This window comes from Homo sapiens, chromosome 5, assembly GCF_000001405.40.
Source record: "Homo sapiens chromosome 5, GRCh38.p14 Primary Assembly".
Lineage (NCBI taxonomy): Eukaryota > Metazoa > Chordata > Mammalia > Primates > Hominidae > Homo > Homo sapiens.
The window spans coordinates 71,877,420-71,888,186 of record NC_000005.10 but is presented as its reverse complement, the minus strand read 5'-3'; the positions used below and the strand labels follow the sequence as shown (position 1 = coordinate 71,888,186).

The 10,767-nt window shown below is 42.8% G+C and overlaps 1 long non-coding RNA gene across 1 annotated transcript, besides 2 other annotated features; it reads right to left on the bottom strand.

Annotated features, from left to right (window-relative positions):
- Positions 334 to 593: an enhancer, noted in NCBI's record as "active region_22642". NCBI's record gives its function as "activates an Ori minimal core promoter by ATAC-STARR-seq in GM12878 lymphoblastoid cells {active_cell/tissue: GM12878}" and the evidence as "EXISTENCE:reporter gene assay evidence [ECO:0000049][PMID:35858748]".
- Positions 1,603 to 6,672, bottom strand: LOC105379027 (uncharacterized). Its single transcript, XR_001742514.2, has 3 exons — positions 6,552 to 6,672; positions 2,906 to 3,171; positions 1,603 to 2,262 (listed from the first exon to the last, which is right to left on the bottom strand). It is a non-coding gene; the product is annotated as an uncharacterized LOC105379027 (long non-coding RNA).
- Positions 10,330 to 10,419: a silencer, noted in NCBI's record as "silent region_16078". NCBI's record gives its function as "represses an Ori minimal core promoter by ATAC-STARR-seq in GM12878 lymphoblastoid cells {active_cell/tissue: GM12878}" and the evidence as "EXISTENCE:reporter gene assay evidence [ECO:0000049][PMID:35858748]".

The following is a 10,767-nucleotide window of genomic DNA, read 5'->3' as shown; positions in this document are numbered from 1 at the left end:
GTAATGCAGTCCTACTATTGATATTGCGAATGTAGCAGTTGTGCAACTCACCATTGTGCTGATACTATTAGTTGCCCCTCAACATCTGTTCTCTTCTTCCTTCATTTAAAGAAAAACATTGTTTTTCTTTAAATTAAAAAAAAAAACATTTTAAGAAAAAAATGTAAAACATTTTTTAAGCTGACTACAAGTCATTCAGTATGAAGACTACATTTCCCAGACTACCTTGCTTCTAGGATGGTCATATGACTAAGTACTGGCCAATGGGATGTGAATTAAACAATGTGTGCAACTTCTAGGTCACATCCTTAAAAGGAAGAGGAGAGGCCTTCACTTTCTCTTTCCCTTCCTGCTTGCCTGAGATGGTGATCCATCTCGAACCTTGTAGATAACCACAGATACAGTACTGGCAGGTCAGCAAGACAGAAGGAACCTGGGTCTCTAACACTATAGGAGTGCTAATCCCACCCTAGACTGCTCACTCGCAGATTGTTATTATACATGAGAAAGAAATGAAGTTCTCTCTTGCTTAAGCCATTGCTATTTGGGTCTCTGTGTTATAGCAGCCAACCTATAATCTAACTAGTAGAATCTGAAGTTATCATATTTACTTATTCATTGTATATTATTCTCTATTGTCTTTACAAAACAAATTCTTAGAGGGCAGAAACCTTGATCCTTGGTCACCACTGTATCCCTAGAATTTGGAGCAGTGCCTATAGATAATGAGGACACATTAGGCAATGAATAACAGACAATAAGTGGATATTTGCTACATTAATGAGTACATGAAAGTATACATGAGTCACTTGCTTTCACTGGCTGACTTTCTGGGCAGTCTTTTGCTTTTCTCCTCCCTTTCTGGCCCTCTCTCTGACCCTGTTATAACAGAACCCCCAGTACTGGGAATGCCACATCTCTCCCGCATACTCCTTTGATCTTAATGTGGAAAATGAAGTTTTCTGGCTCAGGGGTCTGAACTTTTCCTTAGTGCTTTGTACACCTGAATAAGTTTGGAAAGGCCTTTTGACATAAAATTATACTTCAAAGAAAGTCACCGGGATATTGGATAGCATCTGATCCTTCTGCCCCAGTATCACCAGGGTGCTCAGTTTCTTCCCTTTCGTGATGAAATATCAAAACATAAAAAACAGGGGGTTATCAATTATACAATCTGTTATATTTTTTTCTCCCCTCCTAGCGACCCTGAGATGATATGAGGGCTGTCTTGGGGTAACTTGAGGTTGTGAGTCTGAAAATATCAGCCTTAGTTTAGAGCATTTCTGTCCAGTAGAACTATAACCTGGGACACAAATGCAAGCCATACGTATAATTTCACGTTTTATAGTAACCATATCACATTTAAAAGTAAAAAGAACTGTCATGTACTCATAATAATAATTTACAATTTTAAAAAATTTAAGTAAAAAGAAACAGATGGAATCAATTTTAACAATATGAACACGTTCAAAATATCATTTCGATGTGTAATCAGTGTAAAATTTAAGAAAATATTTGACATTATTTTTCTCATACTATCTTTGAAATCCTATGTGGATTTTATACTATTTATAGCACATGTCAATTCAGTACATTTCCAGTGCTTACTAGCCACATGTAAATTCAAGTGCTTATGAGCTACATGTAAGTTCAAGTGCTTAAGTGTGCTATAAGTTCACATGCTTACTAGCCACATGTGCCTAGTGACTATCATTTTGGACAGTGTAGATTAGAGGAAAAAGCATTAAATTAGGCTGTGCTCAAGTTCTATTCAGTTTCTTCATCCAAAAAATGGAGCTAATTATACCTCCTTCATAATCTTTTGGGGAGGAATTATAGAACTAATATAAATGAAAATGTTAAGTGTAAGACAATGTGTTTTTTATAAAAAACAGATATGATATGCTAGCAGAAAGTGTGCTAACAGGTCCTAGCACACTTTCTGTTCCTCTTCTCCATTAATGTCAGAGTTATTCTGCAAAAGAAGGCAAAAAAAAAATAGACTCACCTTCTTGGTTCATGGATGAATCCTAATTGACTAATCTAAGGAGTTTTCATTGTAGAGTGAAAGCATTTAGCTACCTCATATTACAAAACAATAAATGGTGAATCTGGCACATTTCCTCTGCCCTCCCAGTGGTATAGACTCTAAAATGAGCTAACCTTACACTAATCAGGAGGAGAGGGCAGGTACTGGTGAAGTAGGAGGTGGGACATGACTCCAGAGGCAGGGCTTGAACTCCAGACCAGATTGAAGACTAGCTGAAATAGGAAAGAAGAGGCAAAAGCACCTTTCCATAAGACATGCCCACCAGTGCCATGTCAGTTTACCACTGCCATGGCAATATGCAGAAGTTACCCCCCACTTTCCATGTCAATGACCTGGAAGTTACCACCCCTTTTCTAGAAATTTCTGAATAACTCACCTCTTAATTTGCATGTAATTAAAAGTGGGTATAAATATGACTGAAGAACTGCCTCTGAGCTGCTACTCTGGGCACACTGCCTATGGAGTATCTCTGCTCCACAAGGACCAGTGCCTCTGCTGCTGCCATACACGGCCTCTTCAATAAAAGTTGCTATCTGGCACCACTGGTCCACCCTTGAATACTTTCCCGGGTGGAGCCAAGAACCCTCCCAGGCTGAGCCCCAATTTCCGGGCTCATGGGCCCTGCATCACTGGCACTGACTTGAGAAAAGGATCCGAAAAACATAGGATTCTTTTTGTTCTATAAAGAAACATAACAATGCAGTGCATACATAAACACTTTCTAATTTTGTCTGGATATCATATTTCATGGGTGTACATCAGGTTATTGTTAACATTGTTTTATTAGTTATCTATTGTTGCATAAGAAATTACTCTAAAACTTGGCAGTTTGAAACAATAAGCATGTGTTAGTACCTCATAGTTTCTGTAGGTGAAGAATACAGGATTGGCTTAGCTGGGTGCTTCTGCCTCAAGATTTTTCATAACATTGAGGTCAAAATGTCAGCCAGATCTGTGGTCATCTGAAGGTTTTACAGGTGCTGGAGGATCCACCTCCAAGATGATTCACTCACAAGGCTGTTGGCAGGAGGCCTCAGTTTCTCAGCATGTGGACTTCTTCAAAGAGCTGGTTGACTGTCCTCATGACTTCTCCTCCCAAGGTCTCTCCTAGAATGAATGATCTAAGAGAGCAAGGCAGAAGCCACAGTGTCTTTTATGACCTAGGCTCAGAAGTCACACACCACCATTTCTTCAATATCCTCAGCCCTGTTCAGTGTGGGAGGGAACTCTACAGGTGTATCAATACCGGGAGGCCAGGATTCTGCAGATCATTTTGGAGGCTGTCTGCCACAATTGTCAACTGATGCTAGTTGAAAATGGGGGCTCACTTATTTTTTCAGCGTGATTAATTCTGGAAAAGATTTTCTTGTTTGTTTCTAACACATACACACGCACAAACACACACACACACCACAGTATTATTGGTTATTTGCATCATCACTTACATTGAACATAATCTTCTGTGATAAGAAGAGGCCTAGGTCTGTCACCCCTTTTCAAGGCTCCTTCCCTGGACCCTAAAAATTGGCTGCAATTGTCCCTTGGGTTCCTGTTCATTCCCAGCCCTTCATGTCCCGCATCAGCTCACGGACCTCAGGCATTGAAGAAGACCTTACCACAGAGCTTGCCCAAGCTACAATACACGAAAGATGATGTGATGTGGTTTGCATCATGTTAAGTTTCAGATTATGGAAAACTACCAAGGTGAAGTTGACCAGGAGATGTTTAGAGACATACAGAACTTCTCTCCTACTGAAAGATAAGAACTGAAATCAACAGCATAAACAAGATAGTCTCTGTTTTTCTAATTGTATTAACGGATGTGCTGTCTTAAGGAGAGGTGAACAAAGCTGAAAAAGCAGAGGAATCAGAGAGCTCAGAAAAGGGTGGCCAGGTATTTCCAAATGTCGTCAGCTTTCCAAAACTGATTCTCATAGTGCTAGACCCAAATACATATATATATATTTTCCTGAACTTGGAAGTTTCTTCTCTTTCCTTTCATTCCCATTTTCTTTAAAATGTCACCAAATCCCATTATTCTTTTGAAGGCTCTCTAACATCTGTTCTCTCCTACTGCTTGCCACAGTCTAGCCTTGGTTAGACCCTGAGGATCACAATCCCTCCCTCGCCCCACACAGACTATAACAGCAGACCAGCTGTGCTCCTTGAACTAGCCCCAGAATTACACTACTTGGCCAGTCTGTTCACTCTGCTACCTCTGGCCACTCTGGGACCAGCTTGAGGTTGTTCTCCAGGGCTTCTCCCGTGGGATCCTAGCTGGCTTCCTTCCCAGCTGAAGATCACTGGCCTTGCTCCTCAGGCCACAAGGAACCCCTTCCCTCTTACTCTGCCTCTCTGAAAACTGATAAACTGATAATGCACCACTTTCCTGCCTGGACCCTGGCTCAGCCCCACCCGTAAATGACTCGGCTGCGCAGCTCACGCTGAGCACTGCCCAGACCCGGGTGTGAGGCTTAGACACCCATGCCCACTACCAGCATCATGATTCCCACTAAGTAAGTCTCAGTCACTGTCCTCTGCCTGCCCCGCCTCCAACCTTAAAATGCAAACACTCCTGAGGTTATTTATAGTGTGATTCAGCAAGCCTTGGTGTGGGGCCTGGGCATCAGTGTGCTTAACCAGCACCCATGGAGATTTATGGAGCACAATTTGAACAATACTGTCCTCAAGCCTCAGTATGACCTCATTTCTCTAATGCTTTTCTTCTGTGGTGGCTGAGAACACAGACTACTGGCAGGTCTGGCTTCTCTGACAGTCCTGCCCCAAGGTCCTGGGGCACTGAGCAAAAAGAGCTCTGCCCATGCATACTCACCACAGGGTGTCTGGACATGTGCACACACACATACTTGCACCTGCACACATATATGTCCACATTCACACAGGCACACACATTCACACATGCACACACACACACTCACACTCACACAGGCACACACAATCACATGCACAGCTGCTGAATGCAGTGTCCCTGCAGGGTCCAGTCTGAGCCTTGATGCCAGCCTGTCCCTTGGGCCCCCAATCCTTCAAAAATACCAAGTAGATCACAGCCCTTCTCCTCCCACAGACAAAAACACGATTTAGAAGCCGTCATCAAATTCCTGCCTGAGGATACATATCTCTGGGCTGATTAAATAAACACAGCTTAATTCAATTAAAGTGGATCAGAACCTGCATAAACTCTGCTGGCAGCCAGAGGAGTTGCTCACGAATCCTTCATTTTTATAAATGAGTGATGGTTCGCCTGCTCAGGGGCTTGCCCAGAAAATGGAAGGGGCTTCTGCATAGACACAGCTCCCTCTGGCCAGGGGAAAGCATTGATTGGGTTTGTTTTTTTTGTTGTTGTTTTTTTTTTTTTTGAGACAGAGTCTCACTCTGTCACCCAGGCTGGAGGGCAGTGGTGTGATCTCCACTCACTGCAAGCTCCGCCCCCCGGGGTTCATGCCATTCTCCTGCCTCAGCCTCCCGAGTAGCTGGGACTACAGGTGCCCGTCACCACGCCCGGCTAATTTTTTTGTTTTTTTAGTAGAGACGGGGTTTCACAGTGTTCGCCAGGTTGGTCTCAATCTCCTGACCTTGTGATCTGCCCGCCTCGGCCTCCCAAAGTGCTGGGATTACAGGCATGAGCCACCGCGCCCAGCCTGATGGGGTATTTTTATTGAGGGGACCAGGTGGATTTGGAAGCTTTTTGTGCTTTCTGGGGGAGTAGGCATCATGTCCAGTTGCTGAGCACAGGATGAATATGACTCAGGCTGCTTTCCCAAAGGCAGAGGGTGGCGAGAGCCCTGGCACCAGTGATCAGGTGTATGGGAGAGAGGGAGGGAGACAGAAACAGAGAAAGAGAGAGACAGAGACAGAGAGGGAGACAGGCAGAGACAGGGAGAGAGGTAGAGGAAGAAACAAAAAAGCAGAGACAGAGAAAGAGAGACAGTGACAGAAACGGAGAAATAGAGAGACAGAGGGTGACACAAATAGAGACACAGACAAGGACAGGGAGAGACACAAACTGAGACTCAGACACAGAGAGACCAGGCACGGGTAAAGCTTAAAGTTCAGCCACAGTTAAGGGTATTACAAATACGCTTAGCACATTCTGAGAGATTTTGAATGGTGTTGGTTGCTGCAAGGAGTCAGCAAGGAGAAAAAGGCACCTGTTCTAGCTAATTTTCTCAAGGGAGGAGTGGAAGAGAAACAGAAAAAAGCAAGTGTGTAAACCTCATGGAGCGAATAGAATTCCTTTGCTCTGCAGGACAAAACCCACTTCTGCCTTCACAAGGAGCACCTCAGAGGCCCACGGGAAAGACCTGCTCAGCACAGCTGTAGATCATTGAGGTCTGGGGCCCTTCCCTGTGATTTCCCTGTACTGGAGGAGAGGCAATGGAGAAACAGCACAGATACCACCGCTTTAAGGGAACCTCTCAGACAGTGAGCCTAATGTCTGCCCCCGAACTACGCCCCATCTAAAAACTAGATTGAGTGGCACCTTGTGAAACGGCTCAGTCTCCAGTGTGCTGGAGGTGATCACACAACTTGGGGGTCTCTCTCATCTCTTCCTTTCTCTCCAGGGACTTGCTTCTTCAGCCTTATTCATCTCTGCTAGCAGGCTGGGGAGGGAAGGACAAAGAGGTAAAATGTACATTTTACAAGTTCCAGTGGAAAGTCTTTGGGGAAGGAAGTTGAAACTAATGGGCAAGCTGTGGCTTCCATTAGCCCAGAAATGTGAGAGAGGTGCTGTGCAATCTATCACTGTCCTTTGTATGTGCCGGTGACGCTGCTGACAATGTTATTTTCTGGCTTCAAACTTACCCTCATCAGCAGGACTTTTGCACAAATTTCTTCTGGAACTGATAGCTTACATCACCTTACAGACTCTTCAAGCCCCACCACTGGCCGCCCACATAGCTGATCTCTCATCTCCCCCTACTACCAACTCAGGCTCTGAGCAACAGCTTAGCAGACATTGCTGTTCCTATAGCCTCTCACCTGTTTTCTCCTCCAAGCCCTAAGCTGAGCCTTATCCCAGCCTGGACCATCTCTCCATTAACTTTCTGACAAATAGTAGAGGGTCTTTTTGCCCTTGTGATCAAGTGTTTCCTATGCATTGAAGCCTTTCAGATGTCTTCTCCAGCTCCATTCATTCCAGACTCCCCTGTGACTCCAGGGTTGTGAGGACCAACTGGAAACATTACTATAAATCACAGGACATTACACTAGTCTAAGGAACATTGTCATGGTTCACACTGACTCTAAACTTTGAGCATATTAAAAAGCCATTTAAAACCCAGAGGCCCTAGGGCTTCTAGTTGAAAGCGACAGGCTCAGCCCTTGGGTTTATCTCCTGTCTCTGCAAATAATCCAAGACAGCCCCATCAGGAGACTTAAGATTTCAAAATCCTTCTGTAAGACACAAAGCAGATGGAGGAGTATTAACTAGGAGCTGAGCCGAAGAGGCTGCTGAGAAGGTAAAGGCAATGTAAGGCAGGCATGAGACATGAGAGTGGAGACGGGGTCAGTAGTTGAAACTGTGTATAGAACAATCCCCCTGATGTTTCCCTCTAACATCCCCGCTTACAAAAACGCTAGTAGCCAGGTAGTTAGATCCCAGCACAGGGCAGGAAAAAGCCTAAAAAAAAAAGTGAAATTCTGTCTCTGAAAGAAACATGAATGGACTTTCTGAGAAGGACTAGGGCCTGTAGCATGGGGTTACTGTTTGCCACAGTAAATCCTTCTCAATCTGACCTTTAAAGATCCTCCAGAAAAATGAGTGGCTGCCTTCCCACTCACAGTAACCAGCCCCTCCCCGGCTCGCAACCCCCAACGCAGGGCTCTTTGGCAACCTATCATCTCATTCTTAAATATCCAGGATCGCCAAACTGTTGAGTCCAAAACATGAAATGAAAACACCAAGAAAAAAATTAATTAAATGGCCTTGAAAGAAAAATAAAGAATAGAAAAGAATTAAAGTGAAAAAAACTCTAATTAGACTTCCAGAGAGTTATGAAAAGATGCTGTATCCACAAAACATAAGTGGAGAAAACAGACCATAAGAAACAAAGAAAAAAATTTAGAAAGTAAGACTATGACTGCTAACATTTTGGGTGCTTCTTGTTGTTGTTTCAGTTTTCATTTTGTTTTGTTTTGTTTTGTTTTTGAGATAGAATCTCACTCTGTCACTGCCAGGCTGCCAGGCTGGAGTGCAGTGGCACAATCTCAGATCACTGCAACTTCTGACTTCCTGGTTCAAGAAATTCTCATGCCTCAGCCTCCCAAAGAGCTGGAATTACAAGTATGTGCCACCACACCTGCCTAATTTTTTGTATTTTTAGTAGAGACGGGGTTTTGCCATGTTGCCCAAGCTGGTCTCGAACTCCTGACCTCAAGCAATCCACCTTTCTCGGCCTCCCAAAGCAATGGAATTACAGGCATGAGCCACCACACCCAGCTGTGACTGCTAACATTTTTTTGTTTTGTTTTGTTTTGTTTTGTTTTTTGAGACAGAGTCTTGCTCTGTCGCCCAGGCTGGAGTGCAGTGGCATGATCTCAGCTCACTGCAAGCCCCGCCTCCCGGTTCAAGCCATTCTCCTGCCTCAGCCTCCCGAATAGCTGGGGCTACAGGGGCCCGCCACCAAGCCTGGCTAATTTTTTTTGTATTTTTAGTAGAGACGGGGTTTCACCGGGTTAGCCAGGGTGGTCTCGATTTCCTGACCTCATGATCCACCCGTCTCAGCCTCCCAAAGTGCTGGGATTACAGGCATGAGCCACTGTGCCTGGCATATGTATAAACATATATAGCATATGTTTACATACCATAGTGAGATAAAGAGAGAGGAAGGGAATAAATATATTATATATATATTTATAGCAGATATAAAACCATATATATATATGATTTTAAATGGCTCTTTAATATGTATAGTGCAGCAAGAAAAGAAATTTGGGTAAATCTTGTGGTCTTTATTTCTGCAACTGAACACAGGTCAAGTGAACTTTCCTGTTCCTCAGCTGGTAATTGTAGTAGGCATATTGTAGATAGGAAAATAAACCTAAACTTAAAATTAAAATCTATTTTAGTGAGGACAAATTACTGCCTTCCATATGATAGAAAGAATCCAGCAAAAATAGGCAAATGGGATTGTATCAAACAAAACATATTCTGCACAGCAAGGGAAACAATCAATAGAATGAAAAGTCAAACTACAGAATGGGAGAAAATATCTGCAAACCGTTCATCCAAGAAGAAATTAATATTCTGAATATATAAAAAACTCAAACAACTCAACAGCTAATGAAGCAAATAACCCAACTTTTAAAACAGGCAAATGAACTGAATAGACATTTCTCTGAAGACATACAATATCCAACAAATACATATATAAATGTTCAACATCACTAATCATCAGGGAAATGTAAATCAATACTACAATGAGATACCATCTCACCCTAGTGAGAATGGCTATTAACAAAAAGACAAAAAGTTCCAAATGCTGGTGAGGACATGGAGAAAGGGAACTCTTACATGCTGTTGGTGGGAATGTAAACTAGTACAGCCATTAAGGAGAACAGTATGGAGGTTCTTCCAAAAAACACAAATGGAACTACCATATGCTCCAGCAATCCCACTACTGGGTATATATCCAAAGGAAAGGAAATCAGTATATCAAAGGGATATCTATATCCCCATGTTTATTGCAGCACTATTCACAATTGCCAAGATATGGAATCAATGTAAGTGTGCATTAACAGATGAACAGATAAAGGAAATGTGGTGTATATACAAAATGAAGTACTATTCAGTTATAAAAAAAGAATGAAATCCTGTCATTCATGGCAACATAGATGGAGCTGGAGGACATTATGTTAAGTGAAACAAGCCAGGAACAAAGTTAAACACCCCATGTTCTCATATGTGGAAGCTAAAAACAGTCAGTCTCATTGAAGTACAGAGTAGAATATGGGTTACTAGAGGCTGGGAAGGTGAGGAGGTTGGGAGGATAGATATTGGTTAAAGAATATAAAATGCACAGCTAGATAGAAAAAATAAGTTCTAGTGTCCTATAACACTGTAGGGCAGCTGTAGTTAACGGTAGTTTAGTATATATTTTCAAACAGCTAAAAGAAAAGATTTGAATGTTCCCAACACAAATAAATGATAAATGTTTGAGATGATAGATATGCTAATTACTCTAATCTGATCACTCGATATTGTTTGTATTGAAACATCACTATGTACCCCATCAGTATGTATGATTAAAACTAGAATAACAAAAAAGTATCAGAAACAACCAACCTGCCACATGGTTCCTGTCTCACCCTCTCTGTGCCACATGGGAGATTCAGGGTTGTATTGCCACATTGGGAACTGAGAACCTTTGCAAATGAGAAGTGCTTCTGTTTATCTGATTGTTGAGATCCCCCTTTGTAACAAGGAGCCTTTGGTGAGCAGCCTTGTGGAACACAACTATTCTCACACTTTGTTCGTTCTAAGAAGCCAATGCATAGCTCTTTAAACTTCCTGTTCTCCTGCCCTCCAGTTTTGCTCCTTTCATGCCACTATCCATGGGCCAAACTACTGTGTACTGCCCAGAAAGTAGTGCACACTCTTTCCTCAGGACACCCTTTTTCCATGCACATGGACAGTGAGATGTTCTGTTAAAATCTCTGCCCAGTATGAGGATTTATCTTCCCCAAGGTCCTTCAGG